The sequence below is a fragment of the Homo sapiens genome, chromosome 16 (genome assembly GCF_000001405.40).
Source record: "Homo sapiens chromosome 16, GRCh38.p14 Primary Assembly".
In the NCBI taxonomy this organism is placed as follows: domain Eukaryota; kingdom Metazoa; phylum Chordata; class Mammalia; order Primates; family Hominidae; genus Homo; species Homo sapiens.
In genome coordinates, this window is record NC_000016.10 from 79,279,940 (window position 1) to 79,305,737 (window position 25,798).

Genomic DNA, 25,798 nt, shown 5'->3' on the forward strand with positions numbered 1-25,798 from the left:
CCCGGGACACAGTTTGTGGGCAATGGAAGTGTTCTCGATGCTTTGATGTGAAGCATGGTTTCTGCTGCCCCTGTCACAGGCTCCAAAGCAGAGTGATTCTTCTGATGATGATGTGAGGCCACAGCAGGTAAGGAAACAGGAAGACCATCAGCTCGATAAGCTGCCCTATTAACCAGAAGTGATTTTCAGCTCTCTTTAAGAAGGGAAAAAATTACATTTAGGAAAATCCAGAAAAGGTTAAGCCAGTTGCACGTGTTGGTTAACCGGGCTTGCAGCAGAAGTCACTCTATAATTGGGACTTTTTTGATAAATCCAGTTTTGTGTAAATGCCGGGAGAAGAGAGGTCTGGGGCAGACTCACCTCAACATTTGTGGGGACTGGATCAAGAGTCCAGCTGCAGTCTAAGTTTTGAAAAGGGCAAATCCAACTAAGAAACTATTAAAACATAACCTCTATCCTCCTATTTTGGCAAATACATGTTCGCAACTATTTGAAGGCCAGGTTCAAATTTAAAAGTTTTAGAACCCCTGGGATTCTGCAACAAAACCTGTATGCACAGGCCAGCTTGGGGGGCCACCACCTAAACTCATTCTTCCACCATGAGGGATCACTTGCATATGTGTCTTTTGAGTTTCCTAGGGCTGCTTGAAGCAAGGACCAAGAACTGGAAGGCTTAAAATAGATATTTCTTCTCTCTGGGGTGCTGCAGTGCTATTCACACTCCAGGGCCCCTGTGGGCTCAGGGTGATGCTAGACTTCAGCTGAACCCACATCTCCATCCACTGTCTTGTCCAGCCCCTGCATTACTAGCTCCTATCCTGGCTTCCCTGTCACTACACTGCTCACCAGGAATCACTCTCTCCCATTGTACTCCTCAGGAACTGCACCTAAGACAGCGTGGGAACATTTTAAAGGACTCTGATGCGGATTCCTTATTGAGTATGAATTGACTCTGAAGATTTAGTTTCCCTCTTCCTTGATCCATTGTCAAAGCAGTCTAGTGATTGCCACCCCCGACCCTGAGAAAGGAGTGTCTCCCAGATCAGAATGGGAGGGGAAGAAGCAAAGATAAAGGCAGGTGAAAAAGCAGCAAGAGACAGGGAGAAAAAGAGACAGAAGGAAAAAGAGCAGAGAGGAAGAGGAAGAAGAGACGAAGACAAATAGAGGATGAATGATTATCCAGAGGCTACCAGAGGGAAGAAGTAGAAGATAGGAGGTTGGACGGAAGATGTGCACATACCTTTTCTTGTTTTTGCACATACATTTAACCAATAGTTTCAATATGAAAAAAAAAAAAAGGACATGGAGGGTAATGAGCAAAGGGTATTAGGTAAATGCTCCAGCTAATCCCAAAGTCTAGGGGGATGATCGTGAAAGATGAAAGAAAGCCTCTAAAAAGAGTTAGAAAATACAATCTATGGTTTAATAAAAGAAGTCAGAGGTCATAACAAATAAAAAAGAGAGCCATAGGGTACTTAATACCAAATATTTAAGGTGAGCCTTGCTTTAAGCAAGTGAGCTGTATTCCTGAAAAAAGGTTTGTAATTCAGTTGTTTGTATATGAAATCCCATCTCAAGCACCTTGAGAAAGCTCACTCTTTGAAGACTTTTTTTTTTTTTTTTTTTTTGAGAGGGAGTCTTGCTCTGTCGCCAGGCTGGAGTGCAGTGGCGCCATCTCGGCTCACTGCAACCTCCGCCTCCCAGGTTCAAGCGATTCTCCTTCTTCAGCCTCCTCAGTAGCTGGGACTACAGGTGCACCACCACGCCTAGCTAATTTTTGTCTTTTTAGTAGAGACGGGGTTTGACCATGTTGGCCAGGATGGTCTCCATCTCTTGACCTTGTGATCTGCCTGCCTCAGCCTCCTAAAGTGCTCATCGGAAAATCCATTACAATCCTTTACGCCTACAGCACACACTCTCCCCTAAACTCCTGTATTAATTGTAGAACCCTGCATTTCTGTGTGTGGCTAGCAAGGACCACAATGAGGATACTGATCTGCAATCTCACCCCAGGATAGTTTGATATGGAACAATCCAACAGGAGTCCTGGTGTCTGGGTCTTGAAGGTAAGAGTTAAAAAAGGCCGGGTGCAGTGGCTCATGCCTGTAATACCATCACTATGGGAGGCCGAGGCTGTTGGATCACGAGGTCAGGAGTTCGAGACCAGCCTGGACAAGATGGTGAAACCCCGTCTCTACTAAAAATACAAAAATTAGCCTAGTGCCATGAGTTCTAGAAATGCCAATTAGGAAGCCAAAAGTCTGTCTAAACTGGGGACACCCGTGGTTTCAAAGTGGAATGGAGACTCGGAGTGGTATTTTGTAAATATCCATGGCCCAGGCATTAAGGAAGCCACCCCAAGTTCCCTGGGAGAGGAGATTATAAAACTGTTAGGAGGTTGGTGGATCAATTTCTCTTTTAACTTTGTGATCATAAAAACAGCAGAACCAGAATAACCACTAATGTAGCATCAGTGATGTGGGCACTAGGGTATCCCTCCTCTAAAAGGAAAATATTAATGGTGTCACCAAAGAGTGGGAGCCTGAATCTTTAAGGTGATCTGAATCTTTAAGTGACAGAAGTCCTGCAACTTGGAGTCCCAGGAATACTTATAACTGGCCCCACAGTCACCGCTTCCCCAAAGGCTACGGTAACAGAATGAACTCAACTCTCTTTAGCCAAAGAAGACCTTTTAGATTAGGAAGGTGCAAATTCTCAAATTACTCAGTATCAGTTTGTCATATGATCTCTCCAATCAAAACTGTAAGTAGATCTCTTTACTTTCTCTTTAGTTTAATAAATAGCATTGGCAGGTGGTTTCATCTGGGGGTTTAATATTCTCCCTTGAACAGTATTTTATCGCCTGAGGAGAATGATTTTGGGTGCAGAACTACAAAGCTAGTCTCAGGGTGGACTGTGGGCTGTCAGCTAAACCCATTCATTAATCCAAAGGGTCCTATTTGCTTATGAGTTTCATCAAAGGCATGTTTCAAACCCATGAAGCAGCAAAAATGACAAGTTAGGAAGTCATAAAGCTTTGGGTTACTCACAAATAGTCAAAACCACAAATGTCAAACCTGCACCTGCCAAGGGTCTATTGTACCAGATTCTGAGCTCCTTGAGGGTGGGGAATAGGGAATGTTTCTGATTCATCTTTGTATCTCTGGTAACTGCAACCAGCACAGTACCAGGCATTGTGAATGTCCTTCACATATTTATGGCGTGAGTGGATAGATGGACGGATGAATGGATGGATGGATGAATGGATGAATGGATAGGGTTTGTGTAAGATAATAATTTTTAAACTCAATGATGAACAAAGAAAACCATCTTTCTAGAAAAGCACGCCATGTTACATTAGACATATGAAACTTCCTCCCAGTTCACAATAAGTACATTCCAGAAAGTTTACACTTTGGGCTAGAATTTGCAATATATTCTTTTTAAAAGCTTCTTAAAATTGGTAAAAAGTTCTCCTCATTCTAGAGCAGTGTAAGCATAAATCTTTGTATTTTAAAAAGATCCTCAAATGCTTAATTTGTAGTCCCAAATTCTACATCCAACGCCTTTAGGTCACCTATATGCTTTTCTGATGACTGAAAGAAAGGGAATGACAAACTTTTAAAAAACGATTAAAAAGATCTCTTAAAAAACATTTTGCAAGTCTTTGAAGCTGTCATAAAAATCTTAGGTAGTTTCTGAAAATTGTCCAAATATGGTAGTGTCGCCATAACCAATTGCTCAGCAATCATTACAGACTCTGGGTTAGCTCTGACAAAGGAACTAATATTCTGAAAATGAAAGTATCTGAGAACTAAGCACAGGCCGCACAGAACCTGCACGCTGCTTTGGCACTTGCACTACCTCCAGAGACCTTGGGCAGATGCACCTGAACTTTCACCAAGCTGCTTGGCCTGTCCTCAAACAGACATGCCAGTGTCTCCTGCACGGGGTAGCTGGGGAGCTAATCTGCTTCACTCACCTTCCATTTAAGTGAAACCATAATCTACCCCCTGCACCTCCTCCTCAAAAAAAAAAAAAAAAAAGACAAAGCCCCATAGTAGTGATTGATGGCAGAACAAGGGTCCTTTTAGCACAAATTTACACTTACCATGTTCCTCAACTACAAGGTATTTTAATAAAGTTAATCTCCTGATATTTGTGCTAGAAATTGCTGGTATTAAGTGGCGATTTAGCAGAACACCACTGACCCTTCAGCAAGCTTTGCGCCCAGGAGCTTAAAGCAAACAAGCTATGGCAAACCACCTCCATCCGCCTTCTACCCCAGCAGAACTCCCTTTGGTATGAAGGTCTTGATATGAAAGATGTTGCACTTCCTTCTTTCTGCCATATGCATTCTTGCAGCAAGAAAAGGTGAAGGACGGGTACTACTTCCACACCATCCAAAGGCAAATGCCCCATTCACTTGGCAACATCACCCCTTAGAGGGTTCCACTGGGTAATTACAAAATACCTGAGTGGCAACTATATGCTGGGCCTAAAGTAAGGCATCAAAAAATTTACCCAAAACCTTTACATCTAGCTCATTGCAGACGCCTAACATAAAAGGGCACCAGGAAAGAGAGCAGAGATATTTCTAGTTCGGCAGATGTCTGCCAATGCTTTTCTCACATTTTGACCATCATCATAATAATCCCAATGATATAATCATCGATAATAATAATGTTAGTCATAAAACAAGGGTGACTTTTTAAGAAAGGTTGGGAAGTTGTTTCAAACTGTGCAGGGCTGGTGTCACAGGAAAATGTCAAACTTTCCACTTTAACTTCCGTTTTTCAGGCATGAACACTTTGCTTTGGGGGAAATCTGGGCACTATGAGGGCTCAACCTGAGAACAAACTTCAAGTGTGCACCGTGCCTCTTTTCTGCTCATCTCTCAGTCACCTGGACTCGTTAAAAATACAGAACTCTGGGTCCAGCCAGACTGAAAATCAGCTCTCCCCCCAGCCAACAGTCCAAGCCTGGATTTCCACGAAGGCACGCGGCTCTCTTTACAGATTGCAGATTTACATGGTAAAAATAGAAACGTACGGCATCACATGTATATGCAAATTTGCCAACCAAACTCAGTGCTGAAAATAGTTATTTACTATTTGGCTTGCATATTGGCCCAGAAAACCTTCCATACCTATTTCATGCTCATTTAAATTCTTTAAGAGTTCCTGACCCATTTAAATTCCTTGAGGGATGCCTGGCTTCATAGGCATTTGTCTGCTGCTCTCCCCAGCAGCTTTTAAAGAAATATTGCCTGTCAGTGCAGACTGGACTTTGGAAAAAATATCTATTAAAAAAATATTTTTAATATATACGGCCCCCCTTTCGTTAGGTCTTTAAGCCATAATATATACGGCCCCGCTTTCCTTAGGTCCATTCTGGGCACTGTTTAGCCACGAGTGGCCTTGGACCTAGAATTAGGGCTTCCTTCTTGATAGCTCCTTTAGGATTAGGGACGAGAATGCCTAAGCTGTACAGCTGGAAAATAGGGACAGCAGTTTTTCCGAAAATTTGGTCCCTGGACACCTACATCAGAGTCCCCTAGGTGTGGGGAGCAGGGAAGGCTTGTGCAAAACGCAAGCTCCTGACTCCTCTCTAGAACCGCTGACTCTGAATTTCTGGGAGTGGGACTCTGGATGTTGCTTTTATAGGAAGTTTACCATGGTGATTCTGGTGGCCTCCAGGGGTGGGGAATCCATTACTCAGAAACCACCCTGAAATCCTGAAAGTGTGCTGCTCAGGAGCTGGATTCCGCAAGGCCAGAGGGCACCGCAGGACTCACCACCAAATGAGGGCACTGACGTCCTGCAGGAAGGCGGGAGGTGACTTCCCCAACGTGACCAGCGCACACTGAGGTCTGCACTGCCATTCTTTCCAGGAGCAATTCTGGTGCTCACAGAAGGGACCACTGTTCCTAAGGGCAGTGTGGCAAATTATTCCCACTGCACAACTGGCTGAGCCAAAGGGGCACCATCTCTGCCCCCATATTTAGGGACGATGACTCAGTACAGTTTGGGTTCTACAGCACGACAGTGTGTGTTTAAACCCTGGCCCTACCTCCCACTGGCTACTTCAGTTTACAGAGGAAATGATAACAGTTCCTACCTAATAAGTTTATTGAGAGATCAAATAAGATCAATATTGATAGGCATCTGGGTGATATGGGCCAACTAGTCAGCCCTTAATAAGCAGTAGCTAGCTGGTTTTTCTTTTAAAATACTTTTAAAATACTTTTTAAATACTTTTTTGTTTAAAAACCGTTTAGAATTTACAGCATTCCAAAGACTCTCCCCAGAAAGTCTATCTAGGTGAACAGGCAAGTTTGGTTTGGAAAATGAGGTGATGATGCAAAGTGAAGCCTACAGAAACTATGGAACCTTCTTAGAAAAGTCCTCTGTACTATCCTCTGCTAGAGAAGGAAGCTGAGGTCACCTGATATTGAAAAGTTGGCCCCACCATCAAGTAGCAGATAGTTTCATAGCATAAATTCACTGCCAACTACTTAGTGGGTTCTTGATACATTTGGCAGTATGCTGTTTCTCATCTTCACTCACACATTTATTTGCCACACCATTATCCTTGCATGCACACGTGTATATGTGCATGCACACTTGAACAATAATACTTCTTTCACTCACTTTTTTCAGCATAGGCAAAGACACATCTATTGAAATATCTATCCAGGCATACATACTGGTGCCTCACATAGATACAGAACTTGCTCAGAGCTACCCACAGACATTCCCACGCATCTTTAACAGGTGAAACAACCCAGACAGAGGCAAATGCCCACACGTCCACCCGTTCTCACATGGCCGTATCCACAGGCTCCCACACAACCCAGGACACAGCTTTGTGTGCCTCTGCACAAACACCCTCGTAGAGACACAACTGCACAAATGCACTCAACATGCCTCTTCCCCGCCTCCTCCCACACAAACGTATCGACGAGTTCTTGGAGTATGGCACAGACCTGACTCTCTGGCAAAAAACCAAAAAACAAACAGACAAAAAAACCCTTTGGAAACCCATTAAAAACCGAAGCCAGAAGTGAGCGTCCCCTTCGCGTTATGTCAGCAGGCTGCTGACTGTGGGAGCAGGGAGCATGAACACAAACGAACATTCCAGAATCAGCTTTGTTGTCCTCCACGTACTCTGCCTTCCTTTTTTTTTTTTTTTTTTCCTTCAGCAACAACAGAAATCTGTGAAATGACTGAGGGTGGTTAATTAAGCATTGCAGCCCATATTCCACTGCAGTTTCAATTGGATATGGTGTTCTCTTTCACTTCCTGTTATGCAGGATTGCGGCAGGCTGTTAGACACCTGCCACGCTCCCAGCCCAGCTGCTGTTCAGCTAGGGGCAGAGAGGAAGCACTCCCGGGCCCTCGGCCTTGAGAGGGTCTCATTCTGCAAACCAGCCCCTTCCCGGTGAGGCGGGGGCTGGCGGGGGAGGCACAGCTGATGTGAGTCCACACTGGAAGCTTGAGGACCAGCAGCTGGCGGTAAAGACCTTAGTCCATTGTGAGGGTTGTGGCAGGAGGCCAAGTGTTTTCCCCCAAACCCCCAAACCCTGAGTCCTGCCATGACCCACGTGTAATTAAAGCTGGAGTGTCTACGCAGGCCGGAAATCAGATGTTATTTTTTGGTTTGCCTGGATCCCTTAGCGTCAGGAATCAGACTGCATGCAGAAACATCCACTTGTTTGTTGAGCCATTTATTTGCTCATTCATTCATCCACTCATTCTTTCATTCACTCATTCATTTATTCACTCATTCATTCATTCACTCATTCTTTCATTCACTCATTCATTTATTCACCCATTCATTCACTCACTCATTCTTTCATTCACTCACTCATTCATTTATTCATCACCTTGGGAGAACCTCCTATGGGTTAGCTTCTCTGTGTTAGGCAGTCACCAAACAGACAAGGCACATTTTAATTTTAATAAAGCTAGCTAACCCTCCTCATCGTAGCTCCGATTTATTGAGAACCCATTATGTGCCAAACAACATGTGCCATACCAGTGAGCTCCAGCACCCTTTATTTAACAAAACTACTCCCAGTTCCTTGGGGATATTTTTCACTGCTTGTAATTACTCTGTTTTTATCAGAAAACAGAGAGGAAGGCATTGGAGGGAGGGCAGAGGGAGGGTGAAGGGGAAGCAGGGGAGGAGTGGACTCCAGGCTTCTTCAAGGAGATGATGACAGTGATGGATTAATGATGCTCACAAGTTCTTTGATGCTTCTGCCATCAAGAGGTGGGGTGTGTATCTCCTCCCCTTGAGCCTGGGCTGACCTGCTTTGACTAATAGTGTACAGTGAAAGTCACACCATCGCCATTTCTGATATTTCAAGGCAGTTTCTATTTCCTTTCTCTTGGAGATCTGAGTTGCTACATCCTAAGCCGGTTACATAAGAATCCCGAGGCTGCCATGCTGTGAGGAGGTCCAAGCTGCTACGTGGGGAGGCCATGTGGACAGAGAGTGAGCTGCCTATTCAGCCCCCAGCCCTTGGGAGTCATCACAGTTTAGCTCCATACATCACTGAACAAAGCAAAGTCACCTCTGCTGAGCCCTGTGTGAATTCCTGACACGTGAAATTTTGAGATACAGTAATAATCAATTATTTTAAACCATTAAGTTTTGGGAAGGTGTTGTTATATAGAAATAGATAATAAGCTTATTGACTGAGTAGTGGAATCTTACAGGTGAGTGAATTAGGTAAACATGAGGAAAGGAAGGACATTCCAGGTGGAAGAGAATAAGCAGTGTGTTGTTTGTTTGTTTTTTGAGATAGGGTCTCGCTGTGTCACCCAGGCTGGAGTATAGTGGTGCCATCTCAGCTCACTGCAACCTCCTCCTCCCAGGTTCAAGCAATTCTCCTGCCTCAGCCTCCTGAGTAGCTGGGATCACAGGCACGCACCACCATGCCCAGCTAATTTTTCTATTTTTAGTAGAGATGGGGTTTCACCATGTTGGCCAGGCTGGTCTTAAACTCCTAACCTCAGGTGATCCACCCGCCTCGGCCTCCCAAAGTGTTGGGATTACAGGCGTAAGCCACTGCACCCAGCCTGTTTGTTTGTTAAAGGAGACAGAGAAGCAAAGATACCTGCTGAGATCTCTAAGTGGTTTGGTCTTAGTGAAGTATGAGGCCATGCAAGGACTTGTATTCCAAGCTAAGAAAATGTCACTCGATTCTCAAGATTGTGGAGAAACACTGTAGGGATTTCAAGCAGGGAGTGGCACGGTGTGACTGGTGTTTCAAAAGTGCTCTGGCAGCAGAGTGGCGGGAGCCCACAAAGGAGGTGATGGAAGACTGGGGCAGGCAAGAGCAGTGTTTCTGGGATGGCGGGAGGTAGAGAGGAGATGGGGGAAATCATTATGAGGTTAAATTGGTGGGTCTCAGGGAAGGCCTGGAGTGGCAGTGGGGAGAAGATGGAATTGTGAAGGGGGACACCTAGATGTCTCACCTGGGGGACTGTTTGGCTACCCACCGTGAGAGAAGGCAGAGGAAGCAGGTTTTTGGGGTTGGGAGGAGAAGCTGAGAGTACTTGATTAATTCGCAGAACATTTATAGGCTTCTAGGCTATTCTGGCACCTGTGCCTTATACTACGGGCGGATGAGTGTGTCATGGCTGTGACCATCAGACAAGACCTTCCACTGTGGCCATATGGTTATCATGACAGCTTTGCAAAGCAGCCTGAATGGGGCACTTGTTGACCATTTTAGGGATGTGGAAACTGTGGCTGAGAGAAGTCAAATCATTCTTCCAAGGTGTCACAACTCATGAGAAAACAGAGGGAGGGATGCATCCAAGTGCTCAGAGTCCAAAGTTTGTTCTCTTAGGCAGGCTGTCCCCTCAGGGATGAACAAAAGGCAGGATGTTTGTTTGTGTATTTTTTTTTTTTTTGTGAGACGGAGTCTTGCTCTGTCACCTGGCTGGAGTGCAGTGGCGTGGTGCAGTCTCAGCTCACTGCAACCTCCACCTCCTGGATTCAAGCGATTCTCCTGCCTCAGCCTCCTGAGTAGTTGGGACTACAGGCGCCTGCCACCACGCCCAACTAATTTTTGTATTTTTAGTAGAGACGGGGTTTCACCATGTTGGCCAGGCACTGGTCTCTATCTCTTGACCTTGTGATCCACCCACCTCGGCCTCCCAAAGTGCTGGGATTACAGGCCTGAGCCACTGTGCTCAGCCTGTATATCTTCTTAAAATCCCAAGTCCAAAACCCCATGGGAGGGAAGCTACTTCCAATCAGATAAAAGAGTTGTCTCCTGGGAGGCTTAGAACAGAGGGCAGAGGATGCCAACAACACCGAGCTTTTATCTGATGAGAGATATAGCCAGGCTTTTCATATTAATTTCCCATAAATCATACGGGCTCTGCGGCAAATTATCTTTCCCCAGGACTAGTTACATGGGTCATCGAGTCAATGCCCAAGATGAAGAAGCCTTTTCTTTCTGAATACCCTTTGGGTTCAAAAAGGTAACAGAGGTCTGAGAGTCAGAATCATCTTTTTAGAGAGAGTTTAACCACGGGGAACTGAGTTTTAATCCAGGGACAGCTGTCCCAAGAGCCTGTGTGCTTAACCATGCTGCGACGTGTGTGTACATTATCTAATCCAGAGTAAAACAGAGTAAAAGTCACAAGATTTGGGCTGGGGGGTTGGCTACATGGAGCAGATCATCCTGTTGGTCTATTACATAAAACGGGTGTGCTTTGAGACACTGTGTGATCTGTCTGTTCCGTGCAACAGCTTCCAATGATGCCTCATTTTTTCCTTTGGAATCTAGAATACCGTCCAACTCCCAGGGCGAATTTGGTGTTTCTCAAATTGTTGACCTTGAATCAACTGCATTAGAGTCACTGAGGCTGGTCCTCCATGAGAAAGCACCCTCAGTTAAAAATGCAGATTCCCAATCTCTACCCCCAAAATGGCCTCAACCAGACTTTCTGTGGATAGGGTCTGGAAATTCCAATTTTACATGCTTCCTCCGAGATGTGATGCTTATTCACAATGACAATCGAGGACCATGGGGAAGAAACACTAAATGCCCCATTACGAATGCTCGAGTGTAGTCAGGTCTGTGAAGAGACTGCTTTTTTCCACATCTCCCATAGGACCCATTACAAATCACAGAAGCCCTGCTTGTGGAAGCCCCGCTTGTGGAAGCCCCTGCATTTAGGAAATGGGGCCGTCGTCTGCTGGTCTGCTTCAAGCTCTCTTCCCTCTCCTACAGAGCATAGGAGTGGAGGGCAGGGAGGTGACCACTGGGAATGACATTTCCTGGCTTCCCCAAATCCCTTGCCAACTGGCTTCCTGTAGGTTTGGACAGTGGGAGGTGCTGGTGGGAGGGACGGAGAAGCCAGGGAACTTCTCTCCTCTCCTTCAGGTGTCATGTCACCTTGTTGGTTCAAGTTTCCATTGTACAGCCACTTTTCCTCTGCCCAGATCTCCTGCTTTTGGATTCTGGCTCTAAAGCATGATACTCTCCAGCGGGTAGTGGCTTCCTGAATTTCCTTGTTTCTGAGTCTCCTTACCTTTTCCTTTTTTCCTTTTTAGCACTCCTAAGACCTTTGTAACTAGTTGCTCATATTAAGTTTCCTCCTCTGAACCTATCTGGGGGTGAGTTCTGTTTTCCAGACTCTACTCTGACCTATGCAGGGAGAAACACAGTAAAAGTTGTCATACAAATGACTAGCCAGCTACCCATGAGTTATTGGGTACCTCTGGTGGGCCAAATATGGCGCTAAAAACTTTAGATATATTATATTAGATATATTATTTATTCATTCAAAAGTATATATTGAGTACATACTAGATGGTAGGAACTGAGCTAGAAATTAGGTTTACAATGGGAACAAGAGGTTGTGGTCCCAGCCCTCACAGGGTATCACCTCTCCTGGTGAAGGCTCACCTTGCATAGAGAATTGCAGGTGTGATGTGTGGGTCACTGCAGAGAACTGGATGGTTCTCATGAGGGTACAACAGTAGGGCCTGGCTCCATTCAGCAAGTGGCATCGTCCCTCTTTCAAACAGACGAGGAAACTGAAGCTTAGAATAGGAAAGATGACATCTTAAAGGTATATATACCCTAGAACATTCTCATCCTTAAAAAGAAGACACTGGGACAAGGTTTTCCAAGCAGAAGCTGTAGGGAATATTGTGGGTTGAATCGCATCTCTAAGAAGACATGTTGAAGTCATAACCATTGGTAGCTGTGCATGTGATCTTATTTGGAAATAGTGTCTTTGCTGATGTGATCAAGTTAGGGAGAAGACATACTGGATTAGGGTGAGCCCTAAATCCAGTGATTACACACAGACATACAGGGAAAAGGCCATGTAATGATAGAAGCAGAGATTGGGGTGATGTAGCTGCAAGCCAAGAAATTGATGGCAACCACCAGAAGCTAGTTAGAGGCAAGGAAATTCTTTTCCGAGAGCCTGAAGAGGGAGGATGGCCCTGCCAACACCTTACTATTCAACTTCTGGCCTCTAGAACTGAGAAAGAGTAAATTTCTTTTGTAAGTAACTCAGTTGTGGTACTTGGTTGTGGCAGTCCTAGGAAACTCACACAGGTAGAGAGAAAGAACTCAGAAGTATGTATTACCAATATAGTCAGAGGCATTTGAACCAGGCAACTCCATCTTGAATAGGGGCTGGTCACAATGAGGTTGAGACCTATGGGGCTGCATTCCCGGGAAGTTAGGCATTCTAAGTCACAGGATGAGATACAAGGTTAGCACAAGATACAGGGTACAAAGACCTTGCTGATAAAACAAGATGCAGTAAAGAAGCCATCCAAAACCCACCAAAACCAAGATGGCGATGATAGTAACCTCTGGTCGTCCTCACTGCTCATTATATGCCAATTATAATGCATTAGCATGCTAAAGACACTCCCATCAGCACCATGGCAATTTACAAATGCCCAAATGCCATGGCAACATAAGAAAGTTACCCTATAATGGTCTAAAAGGGTAGGAACCCTCAGTTCTGGGAGTTGCCCACCCCTTTGCCAGAAAACTCATGAATAGTCTACTCCTTGTTTAGCATATAATCAAGAAATAACTATAAATATACTCAAATGAGTAGCCCATGCCACTGCTTTGCCTATGGAGTAGCCATTCTTTTATTCCTTTACTTGCTTAATAAACTTGCTTTCACTTTACCCTATGGACTGGCCCTGAGTTTTCTTGCGTGAGGTCCAAGAACCCTCTCTTGGGGTCTGGATCAGGATTCCTTTCTGGTAACAACACCAACTCCTGGGGTGTCCCAGGCCTGATGCTGAGCCACCCCAATAAGACTCCAAACAATAGGGGTGCCCAAAACAGAGTCTACAGAGGATGGATTAAGGGACCTCACTCACATGGGCAAAGCCAGTTCTACAAACATTCTTGAAACAAATGGAATTATTTTCTGGAAACAGAGAAGAGAAAATGAAACTGAATTCTAGTTTAAAAAATGCCTATTATGTAATATACACTTTCTATATGTTACATTTTTGCACATAATATGTAATATACTGCTTTTTCCTTACAAGAAACTTGGAGGTATATGCAATGATCAATGTTTGTCAAATGAGTGATGCTAGACACCCACATCACAGAGCTAGGAAATTGCTCAGTGAGGTCAGACCCCACGACTTATGTTCTTTGCACCCTGGCCTGCTATTCCAGAACTCAGATGACCACTCTTTTTCTCCCAACTCTTACATTAGTCTTGGTTGGTGTTCACCTAGTAGAAATTGTGCATAGTAGTGTGTCTGTGAAGGGGAAAGGCAACTTTATCAGAGCATCCCATTGTTGGATGCTAGAAACAAGAACCACCTTTTCTTGTGCCAGTCTATAATTTCTCACTGGCTTCTAAATGAAAAGAGAGAGAGAGAGAGAGAGAGAGAGAGAGAGAAAGAGAGGAGAAAAGCAGGCTTTGTCTCTATCTGAGAATGTGATCAGACAATTTCAGTCCCATGTACTCCACGGTTGGTAGGTTACTGCCTGGATGGGGCCCAGTGGAGAGATTTTCCCCACAGATTTGCTGTAATAAGGTAAGATACCACGATTGTGCAAGAGGCAGTGGCCCCCAGGGTAATTAAGATTCCATCACAATCTACCTGGTAATCTACTGAACCTTCTGCACGAGTGTTCTGAGGTAATTCTGAAGGGACTTGAATTCAGGGACAAAGCAACATCTCAGCTTCTTTGGGGATAATGTCAGGGTCATTCTTTGAATATCAAGAGCTCCTGAGTCATGCAATCCTTCCCATGAACTTTTCTTGATATCCTTCCTCTTAGACTCTTGTATATGTGTCCTTTTTCCTTGAGCAAAGAATAGAATTGGGGAACTATGACAATCATTGCTGTTAGAGTTAAACTGTCTATAAAAGACTGTTTCTTTGATCAATAGGGCTTGTTTGTAGTTCCTCTCCTTCAAGACAAGCTCTTGACTACGTGTGATCAAGAGTGAGTGTGGGCTACCTTGGGTCAGTCACTGTCTCCAACTGACAAGGTGGGAAGCTGGCTCAGATGCTCCCTAGTTCATGCCACTGATAGAATTTGAAGCTGTCTTGGAATTAATTGTTACCGTATTGTAATCCCTGGGAAATATTTACGTAGGTATACTATTATCAGGAAGTAGTATCTTATTTGATCCTTGACTCAAATGCTTTTAGGTAAATATTCTTAATAGTTTACAGAGGAAATTAGCTTCAGAGAGCTTAAGGAACTCACCACTATCATGCTAGATAGTGGGAGAAGGAGGAGTCAAATGCAGGTTTATCTAGTTCCAAAGTCTGCACTGGTTGCACAGGGCCAACTCTCTATCCAGCATTGAGCAACCTCAACCGAGTAAGGGATCAAACCACAACCAAACTACAACAGCATGGCATCAACTCAGCTTAAAAGAATCAACTGAACTGCTCAGCTGGCATTCCAGACATGGAACAAGGAACAAAGAAGGAGGGTTTCTCATGTTTCCATCAGTTGTCACAGTTCTGCAAAGATAGGCATCGTTCTCCCCTTGAAAACAGTCTACTTCCCCCTAGAGCAGGTTACAAGAAAAAGGTTGTTAATAATGCTAGAAGCTAATGCAGCAAAAGTAATTCTCTCTAAATATACTTTTTTTGGGGGTGGGGGAGGGGGCAGGGGGCTGTCTATAAATAAGACAAATGAAATCACTGGGTTAGATATTTGAAGCTATTGAGGTCCTCAAGAGCTTCAGCCCACACTCCTTGCTGCGTTTTCAACCAGTCTTTGGAGCTGTTTACACACCAGGGGAATGATAAAAGAAAAATTTCAGCCAAATTAAATGTAAAGGAGTTTAATGGAGCAATGAATGATTCGTGAATCGGGCGGCCTTCTGAGTCCGGGTAGGCTCAGAAACTTTAGCACAGCCACGTGGTGGAAGAAGATTTATGGAGCGAAAAGGGAAAGTGATGTGCAGAAAATGGAAGTGAGGTACAGAGAAAGCCAGATTGGTTACAGCTCGGTGTTTGCCTTATTTGAACATGGTTTGAACAGTTGGCACATTTGGTTGGCCAAAACTCAGTGATTGGCACATGTGTGGGCTACTGTCTGTTTACACCTCCACTTGTTATAGTTCATGATGCACAGAAAAGCCTTTAGGCTGAACTTAAATTATGTAATGAGGCAGCTTTTAGGCTAAATTTGTTAACTTAACCTGACCAGGTTTAATGCAAATGAGCCCTAAGACATATTCTCGTTGGAGAAGGTGTCACAAAGCAGGGTCTCCCACTGGGCAGTGGCAGAGACCCTTACTGGGGGCTTCCCTGTGTGTCAGGCACAGTGGTAAGTGGTCCACAAGAACTTTTCCCTATTTTAATTCTCCCAGTGGCTCCTAAGGCAGGGGCTGTTGGCAGTCCCGTTTCACAGATGAGAAACTGAAGCCACGTTCTTTGCCCAAGGCATTTAGGACAAGAATCAGCAATGTTTGCATTCTGCTGTTGGGCTCTGCTCTGGGCCTTCCTAAAGTCAGTACCTCACCTCCTGCGGTCTGTAAGCTAGACCTGCCTTAAGACAGCCATGGGTGGGGCTGTCCCCCTCTGGCTGAATCAGTCCTCCATGTGGGCTGATGGCTGTGGAATGGGAAAAGAAAGTCGAAAGCTGATTCCAGCATCGTCTCACTTGCTCTTTCTTAGCCTTATCTGTAAAATGGGATTATAGTAAATTCTTCCTCATAGATCACTGTGGGACTAAATAAGTTATTATATACGAAGCAAGTACCTAATAAAGTTAATTTTATAGATCTGTTCAGGAACAGTCTAAGAACATAGTGAAAGCTTAAAAGACCTATACAGGTTGGAAGGATTAATCTTTTTAAAAAATCAGCTCTGAACAATGAGAATACATGGACACAGGGAGGGGAACAACACACACTGGGGCCTGTCGGGGGGCAGGGTGTAGGGAGAGCATCAGGATAAATAGCTAATGCATGCGGGGTGTAGTGCCTAGGTGATGGATTGATAAGTGCAGCAAACTACCATGGCATATGTTTACTTATGTAACAAACCTGCACCTGCTGCACATGTATCCTGGAACTTAAATAAAATAATTTTTTTTTAAAAGAAAAAAATCAGTTTCATAAATAGGCATTTCGGCAGCTTCCTAGTTACAGTATATTTACTCTGTGTTTCAAAGATTTGTAATTTTTTTTTTTTTACTTCCCGGATCTTCAAGTCTTTTGACCACATTAGAGTCTTGATCTAATTCCTCACCTGCCCCAGGGTTAAGGGAAACAGAAACCTCAGGCCTCAGAACTGGCCCTGCCCAGCAACCTTAGAGATGAATGGGAAACACTCTGCCTATTTTCTCTTCCAGACCACCTAGCATTACCCTCTGCAGTTCAAGGCCACTGAGGAAGTTCAGTTTTCCCTCGTGTGTTTTTCTGAGCTTGTCGTTCATTTGCTCTCAATGCCCTGGTGGGTGGACTCTCCTCTGTGCGGGCACAAAACTTTGCTTTTTGGAAAAAGCAAATCCCCCTATGGAATAAATTTGTTCCTCAATGGCAGGGAACATACATTTTGCACGGTGTCTTTGCTGCTCTGTGGCGACATCCCTTGTGTCTGCCTGAGGGCCCTGCTTTAATACAGTCGCTTCTTACTCCCAACCAGTCACCTTTTCCAGATAATATTTGTGAGGATGCAGTCTGGATGATGTTAACCTCATGTTATAAGGCCCTGCTCCATCATTTAACGCAAGGCCATCCTAATATTATGGGGTAGCAAAGGGGATCCAATGAGACAACATGAAAAAGTACTTTGGAGGAATTTTTTCTTGGCAATTACTCTTGATAGCACTGAAAGCAATGTAAAGCTTTCCACCCAGAGAAAATAGCAAAACGGCGGCAAATGCTTTCATTGAAGAATTGATTCAGCATTTAATGAATATCTACGGTGACTGTGGGCAAGGCTTGATGCTATGAAAACAGGGATGGATAAGGAAGTGCACACGCCTTGGAGGGTGGCACCATTTTGTAACAAAGTCAGACTGTGAACGAGGAAGTAGCATCCCAAGTTGACCATATTTGGTAGTTGTGCTTCTTTGGGCGAACTACTGAACTGCTTAGAACTTCAGCTTCCCCGGCTATAAATGGAGAAGATCAGGACTCTCCTTATAGATTTTGTGAGAATCCAACGCGATGATACAGAAAAGTACTTAGTAGAGTGCCTGGCCCATAGTGAGCACTCAGTAAACACTACCATTCTCATTCTTCACATTATGATAATAAAGTGGTCTCAGTGCTATCACAGGTACACATGGAGTTCTGTGGAAATGTGGGGCTGCGTGCCATTGGCTTCTCTATGCGAGGGACTGGTGGGGAGAACATGGGTTCCCCAACCTCCAATTTCTTTCCATCTATAGGGTTGTTCTGTAGAGCAGGGCGCCCACACCCAGGCTGCACACTTGAGTCACCTGGGGAGCCCCACCCAATTAAATCCCAATCTCTTGGATAGGACCCAGGAGTTAATATTTGCAAAAACCTTCACAAGTGATCTAATGTGCTGCTGAGGTCATGACCAGCTATGTAATTAGCAAGGTCCAGTGCGGAATGAAAATGCAGGGCTACTTGTTTGAAATTATTAACAATGTCAAGGCAATGACAGCAGAGTATTATACCAAGGGCCGGGTGCCACTGCAAGGCAGCACACTGATGAAGCCAGCTCAGGCGGAGCTTGAGAAGCCCTGTGTTTGCATAACATTCCAGCCTCTCTCTGCCCATGGGGACTTGCGTCCCCAGGAAAGGAGATGTGGCATCTCTGGCTAGTAAATGTGAGGAAAAGAGCAGCCCTCCTCAGTTCTAGGAATCAACCTGCCTGTACAAACCAGGTGTGTTTGCTCTGCTCCTGTCTATCCTAAGTTTTACAGAGGCACCTCTTGTTTGCAAGGCTTGAATGGTCTAGCACTTTCTTCGCTGGGGATTACATTTGTGTAATGCTGGGATACAGATCCTGCAAGCTCCCTTGGCCAATCTGAGGACTATAACAACCATATATTTCCCTTGACAACCAGCTCCAACTGGGGAGGGGAAGAGGAGGGTCATTCCTAGCTGAAGTTTGAAGGGTGCCAATCACGGGCCTCTCTTCCAGCCAGGTTAAGAAGCAGTGGGCAGAAATGCAGGAGAGTGGGCACTAAACAGAAGCCAGCATGCAAAGACCCAGGGAAGAACTCACTTGTCATGGGAAAGAGCAAGTGCCAAGGTCATGAGGTGGCATGGAGCTGGGCGTAATACAGGAAGCGGAAGGCCTTGGGGGCTGAACTTGGGTGAAGCCAGGGCAGAGCGGACGTGACGGAAGCTGGTGTGGACACCCAGCAGGGCCTTGCAGGCTTTGGAGGGCTTCCAGAGGCCCCTCAGAGGTTATAGGCAGGGGAGCAAATGGAAACTGTACCATCGCCCAGCAAGTTCTGGCAGACAGGCCTCCAGGGCTATAAGGCAGGTTGGGAAGCATTGTGTGGTAGGCCGATCCTCTCAGCCCCCTGAGCGCCTGGCCCACCAATGCTTGCTCCTGGTGGAGTGGCCCCTTCTAAGGAATCCTTCTTTGGGCACCTTGTGGTGCTGATGGGCACTGGGGCTCGGCGGCAACAAGCCCCAACTGCTAACTTGAGAATGAAGAGCAAATATTTGACTTTTTTTCACCCTTTTCTCCCTCCTCTGCTGTCATTTTATACAGCCCTGTTTAGACTGGATGCTGGTTAATGGGCGACCTTTGCCCTTTGGCTAAAAGCTGTGACCAGGAAATCCCACCTCCCATTAATGCGGGTTTTGTTCAGGATCCCAGGAACGCCTAGCTCACAGCTTCTGCTCTGCAAACGCATTGTCTGCCAGGCTTAGAAAAAGAAAATGGAAAAGAAAAACAAACAAAGAAAAAGAAAAAAAAAAAAAAAGAAAAAAAACAACCTTCCACTGTTGAATTAAAACAGCAAACTCCAGGCCCAAAGTAGGTTTCAGTCTCTATTAAGATAACAAAAGGTCCTAAATGCCAGGCCTGGGCGCAAACTGTGCAGACAAGCGGGTGGCCGGAGAAGGAGGGGGGTCAAGGAAGAGAGGGAAACTCAATTGACGGTTACTTTTTTTTCAGAGTTATTTCCGGTGGGTCTGCCCCCACCCCTCAACAAATTTTGTTGCTCTGAGCATTCCAGGCATAAAAAGTGAGGCCCTGGAGGGCCCCTGAGACCAGCGTCCTGCACAGTGACATGGCACAGTGACATGGCAACCCAGAGGCACCTTGATCTTGACTATTCTAATGCAATGCTTTTCGTTCCTGGCTCCACATGGGTGCCCGTGTGTTCCAATCACATGGCCACAGTCTCTCTCTTCCTTTCTTATTTTCTCTCTCCTTTGTTGATGTTGAATATGATTATTTAAAAGGCTTTATCCTTTTTTCTGCTAAGCCACTCTGGCCCAGAGCCATCTCTTTCACCCTAAAAATTCGAACTCTTGGCAAACAGGGCTTTCTGACCCATTGTCCACTGGGCTTAGCTTGTCCACCTCTTGTGACTTACTTGAGAGCATCAGTGATTGTGCAGGCTAGGGAGCCTTCCTTATGGCTCCCACCTGGCGTCTCTTCCGCAGCACCCAGGATAGCTCATGGCTAAAAGCACATGCTCCAAAAATGTTTGGTCATGGGAGGATCAAGTATTAATATATGTTAGTTATTATTTATGTCATGTTAGGCATAATGGCTAATGATTGTTTCTAAGCTAGATAGGTGTATGGAATAAAAAATTAAAAATAGACAACATTTATTGACTGCTATTTGTGTGTTAATGACTTAACTCTTAAAAGACCCTTATCTTGACCAGGCGCGGTGGCTCACACCTGTAATCCCAGCACTTTGGGAGGCCGAGCCAGGTGGATCACCAGGTCAGGAGTTCGAGACCAGCCTGACCAACATGGTGAAACCCCGTCTCTACTAAAAATACAAAAATTAGCCGGGTGTGGTGGTGCACACATGTAGTCCCAGCTACTCAGGAGGCTGAGTCAGGAGAATCACTTGAACCCGGGAGGTGGAGGTTGCAGTGAGTGGAGATCCGGCCACTGCACTCCAGCCTGGTGACAGAGCAAGACTCCATCTCAAAACAAACAAACAAACAAACAAACAAACAACACCCTTATCTCAAATCTCAAGATTATACTAGGGTTTTTGCAAGTTCCTAAAGATTATGAAAATAAAAACCAAATCAATTAGAACAAAAACCAAAAACAACCCATTTCTTTTTTTTTTTCTTTTTTGGAGAGACAAAAAAAATTCATTTAATTTATATACATTTTATTATATGTTATCTATGTGTGTATATAGCAGATAAGAGCAATGATTTGTGTTCAGTTTTTTTATTGTTTTTAAGAGATTATTCAGAAGTCCATTGTATTAATGTCAATAAAAATTTACTACAAAGTAAAGGGTCTACTGCATGTTTTTATACAAACCAAAATGCTTGTGTGTGGGTTTTCGATCAACACATGAAGAGGAGAAGAAAGCAAAGGACAGCAGAGGGGCAGAAGGGGGAGGAGACGGGAATAAAAGAGAGGAAAGGGAGGGGACACTCAGGCACAAAATAGGTCCCCTGAAAAAAACACACACAAAACCGAAAACCAAGCGGAGTCTCAACAAAGAGCCGTCCAGGTAGGGAGGAAAGGAAACTCCAGCTGCTCTTGCTACACGAGAAACAAGTCGGGTCCTCAGGAGAAGTGGCCCGCAGGTGTCAGATTTGTTTTCCTAACTGCATGAAGGACACCCCACAGTCCTGGGGAGGACGGGACAGGGGGAAGCGTTTGGTGTTTGAATGCCCGCTAGCCTGCTGACCAGCGAGACCCTGGGTGAGGCCACTCCTGGACACTAATATCCACTTCAAGCTGCGTTTGTGGATTGTAAGTGTGCCTCCATGCATGAACCGGAAGCTCAATTAGTAGCTGCTCTTGTTATACAACTTAAGGAAGTGCATTTTTTCCCCCCATTTGAGGGAATGAGTCTTTCTATGACAAAGCTGGAGGAGGCCAAAGGGAGACTGTCTTAGTCCTGACTCTTGGATAGGACGCAGGGATGAGACTACGTGAGGATGTTTTATATGCATTTACATAGTTATTATGCATATATTTTAATTTTTTACATTTAAATGCATTTATTCATTTAATTTATATGCATTTTATTATATCTATGTGTGTATATAGACACATACATATATGCATGCATATAATGTATTTTACTATATATGTTGTACGTGTGTATAAAGCACACATATATGATAAAGTGCATATACATTTACACACACACATATGTAGCCATCATTGAGCACTTACTGTGCTCTGGGTATGATGCTATAGGCTTTACACACTTGCTGTTATTTAATCCCCATAATGACCCTGTGAAATGGAAACTACACTATTATCTGTATGTTACTAGTGGGGAAAGTGGCTCAGAGAAGTTAGGTTACTTTCACAAGGTCTCACAGCCTTTTGAGCACAACGTTGAGAGCTGCACAAGGGTGCGTCCTATGCCGAAGCCTGATGGCTGTAACCACTGAGATCACCGCCTCTCACAGATAGGCATGACCTAGGTCATCCAGATGGACTTCCGCGGAGGGCCTGACTCTCACCTGCATCCCTCCAGTGCCACTAGGACACGCCTTCCTACACCTGGGGTCTCAGTGATGGTGCCAGGCGAGGGCTGGGATCCAGCCTGGTAGCCACGAGATGTGTTGGAAAGACCACTGCTTGGAATGACTCAGGACTCCATTCTCGAAGAGCCTCAGAATCTGAGCCCAGTGAGTTGGAGACACAAAGACACTGGATTACGTTCTGGTTGACTTTAAAGCAGGCTGTGGGCTCTCTAATTTCTAATGAGCAATGAATGCTCTGTCCCCCACTTGGAGAAAGCTTTTAATTAGCCCACTGGACACAGGCTACCAAGAAAAGTGGTCAGTGTGAAAACGACTCTTTTCTGCCACTGCACGTTAATACCTTGTGCCAGAATCAGATCAACCCACATGGCTGATGCCTTAATCAGTGAAGCTCCAAAGAGTTCACCTTCAAATCAAGTTGCCTGGTTGCAGGCAGCACTCTCGTTCTCCCTTCCAAGAAAACGCTTCTTCTTCCAAGCACCTCCTTTCATAAAAACACCCACATTTGTTATTTCTTGCAGAAAGTTTGGTAATGAATGTGGCTTCTATGTTTTCAGCTGTAAACAGCACAAATCCCCCTGCAGGCGCTCTAGAAGACCTTTTATCCATACTCAGGAAAAAGAATTGATTGATTTTGAAGTTAAATGTTGGCATTTGCTGTTATTCAAAACCTGGACCTTGGCGACAGTCATCCACCATGCTTTCAGCATTGCCACCAGTGTGCAGCAAATGAAGACAAGCTGTTGTCAAATGAGAAATGCAAAATAGTCAATCTGTTTGTCTGTTTAATGTAACTGGGAACATAAGCTGCTAAAAGTGGTACCATTCGGCACTGTCAGATGGGAGACACTCTCCAACAAACAAAAGCCTAATGACCCATTTTACTCGGCACTCCGGAGTTGCTTCTGACGGTACCTTCCATATGCACCCAAACATGCTTTTATCTGAAACTGCAAATGGCACGATTTTCCATCCAACACAAGCGTGTAATCTGTGTGTGTGTGTGAATGTGTGTGTGTTGGGAGAGAGGGGGTGGGAGGCGTCCCCACTCCCAGCACTGTGGAGGAAGGCTGATGTTCTAGACATCTTAGAGCTGGAAGCATATTGCAGAAGCATCTGACTCTCATCTTCTCTTTACACCTGTCATTGTACTGTATTAAAGGGAAAAAATCAAGTCATTAACCATGATAGATATGTTTTTAATAAGTAAGTGTTGTGCCTCACCAGGCAGATAAATAGCAGGGCTTATGATAGCTTCAGAGCCTGGCATGGGATTGCAGTGGGAAGTTAAAGGCACTGCCTACTTCTTCAAAGAGTGTGCAATGTGGGAAGCACGGGGCTCTCAACACTACCCAGGCAGCAATTCTTCAAGAATGATCCCTGCTGAGGCTAGATTCTCTCTTGCCTTTGACCTTAGGCGTTGTCTCACACTTCTGTTTCTCAGGGCTTCTGGTACCTGGAGAAATATGCCCTCTTCCAAAGGCTGTTGGCCAAACCCAGTGCCTACGAATGGCTTCAAAAATGCATCTTCCACTGGCATGGCAAATAATGATGCCTATTAATTCATATAGACTGTCAGGAGTACTGTGTTGAGAAGGGTTCTGAGGCACACCCGTAAGAAAGAGTGCTATAATTGGTTATCAGACCATGATATTACTTATCTGCTGCCACAAGCCAATGTTTATTAAAACAAACAAGCAGAGAAAAAGCAAGTTAGGACCATCAGAACTCACTTCATGTTTAGGATCTATCAAAGACTCCTGTAATTTATACCAGAAAGTCAAATCAACTTATGTCATGTCAAAATGCGGGGAGAAAAAAAAGAGAGAGGTTAAGGGTTGATGCACTTCGCTCAAAAGACTCATTGCAAAAGAATATGCCTGGCTCCAAGAGTGTTTGGATACATTCAGTGGAAATAAGGCGAAAGCATATGGTTTGCATTTCCTCTATAAAGAAATATGGGTGGGAACCTTGTGGGACCCAAGATGCAATAACAAATACAGATACTTGACAAGGCTTGGCAGGCGAAGACAGAATATTTCTGTGTTTACCTGACAATGTGACTGGAGTCCAGCCCACTGGGGAGCAATCCATTTGGTTGTGACCTGTCGCACCCTGGCAGAATGTCCTTGCAGAGACATCAATGTCAGCCCGGGAAGCATCGCTCCCTCCCCCTTTCCAGGCAAGCAGCCCCTCCAGTGAGAAATGCTGATCCTGTAACACGGGCTAATGATGCAGTTATACCGCTTGGACACTGGGTGATACTGTATCGTATTACTGTGTAATAACAGGCAGAAAGGAAATGTGGACTCTGGTTTTTAATCTTCCCATTCCAGAGTCTTTTTTTAAAAAATAGAATTTTGACTTCTCTTTTGATGGTTTGTTTTACCATTAATTTTTGTTTTGTTTTACCTTTTTTGTGGGTCTGGTCTCACTACCAGAACTAGCCCTTTTGATTCCATAAGTTGGAGACAAAAGGAACAAAAGATAAGTCAGTGAGAGCAAGAAAAAGAAAGGTGTTTTCTGTATGAAGATTATGAAAAATGGTGGTGGGAGTTCTTAAACATCAAGCCAGACAACCAGACCCTAAAAAACACACTCGCTTCCTAATCATACATATTTTGTTTCAGAGAAAAAGTGCCATTTGTAAGCTAGGGACCAAAAGGGACTAAATGATTATTGCTGTGTCCATTACACTTTTGGTCACAAAAACAAAAAAGTTAATAAATGTGAGTTGCGTGTTTGTGTTTTATCATTTCTTTCCATGGCAGATCAAAAGTCACATGAGTGGTGTTGCAATGCAGCTGCTTGGATTATACTTGGCGCCTTAATAATAAATAGGGAGTTTCTAGAACCACCAGCTCATTAATGAGCACTAATTCAGAATGGATGGCACAATGTTCAGTAATTTAAGCAATGTGGACAATGAAGGTTCTCAACTCTGGTACAAAGAGCGGCCTACAGAATCGTGTGGAATGAGTAATTACAGCTAATATCCATTTCGGCTTGTATTAGAACGTCCAAAGAAACAAGGTCATGCCAGCAGGCCAGGGGCTGGTCCCAGGGAGCATTGCAGGGGAAGGGAGAGTCATCCGGGGCAGGTGAACTGTTTCTATTACTTGGGCTCAGTGATGAATAAGGCCCTGACGGTTCCCACCAGAACCGGGCGGCCAAGCTGCAGTTGCTCGGTTACCGAGCATATCCACTACCGACCCGCCTGTGCTCTGCACAGGGGCACCAGGACTGCAGAGGTGAGGTATTGCTGCTCCAGTCCCAACCTACTTCCAACCTCCATCTACTGTTGGAACAGACAGGGAGCAAAGTGCTGGATGCTTTTCCTCCCTGGGGCTTGTGGGGAGTGTGACTGAGGAGTGCACCTTCCTCAGAGATGCCCCTGGTATTCTCTGTGGTTCACAGCTGAGGGTCTGCAAGGTGGATGGGAAACGAGGCTGTGAGACCTCCACTGGTCATGGGGAGGGGCTGCACTAGGATTGGGGAGTTTAGACCCTCCTGGTGCACCAGAGAGATAATAGATAAATTGGATACAATTTGGGGGTCTGTGGATAAGACATCGCTTTGAACCTGAGCTGTAATAGACGGGTTCTTGTTGCCAGCAACAGAAATCGACGCTGGAAGATTTAA

At 44.8% G+C, this 25,798-nt stretch overlaps 1 protein-coding gene across 5 annotated transcripts in view, besides 3 other annotated features; it reads right to left on the minus strand.

Moving 5' to 3' along the window:
- Positions 1-25,798, minus strand: part of MAF (MAF bZIP transcription factor) — a 398,116-nt gene that overhangs the window by 77,318 nt on the left and 295,000 nt on the right. The gene's annotated exons all lie outside the window — the stretch shown is intronic.
- Positions 7,449-7,949: an enhancer, noted in NCBI's record as "H3K4me1 hESC enhancer chr16:79321285-79321785 (GRCh37/hg19 assembly coordinates)". NCBI's record gives its function as "activates a minimal SCP1, AML or CMV promoter by ChIP-STARR-seq in primed H9 embryonic stem cells {active_cell/tissue: H9 hESC(primed)}" and the evidence as "EXISTENCE:reporter gene assay evidence [ECO:0000049][PMID:30033119]".
- Positions 18,829-19,477: an enhancer, noted in NCBI's record as "OCT4-NANOG-H3K27ac-H3K4me1 hESC enhancer chr16:79332665-79333313 (GRCh37/hg19 assembly coordinates)". NCBI's record gives its function as "activates a minimal SCP1, AML or CMV promoter by ChIP-STARR-seq in naive and primed H9 embryonic stem cells {active_cell/tissue: H9 hESC(naive and primed)}" and the evidence as "EXISTENCE:reporter gene assay evidence [ECO:0000049][PMID:30033119]".
- Positions 19,478-20,125: an enhancer, noted in NCBI's record as "OCT4-NANOG-H3K27ac hESC enhancer chr16:79333314-79333961 (GRCh37/hg19 assembly coordinates)". NCBI's record gives its function as "activates a minimal SCP1, AML or CMV promoter by ChIP-STARR-seq in primed H9 embryonic stem cells {active_cell/tissue: H9 hESC(primed)}" and the evidence as "EXISTENCE:reporter gene assay evidence [ECO:0000049][PMID:30033119]".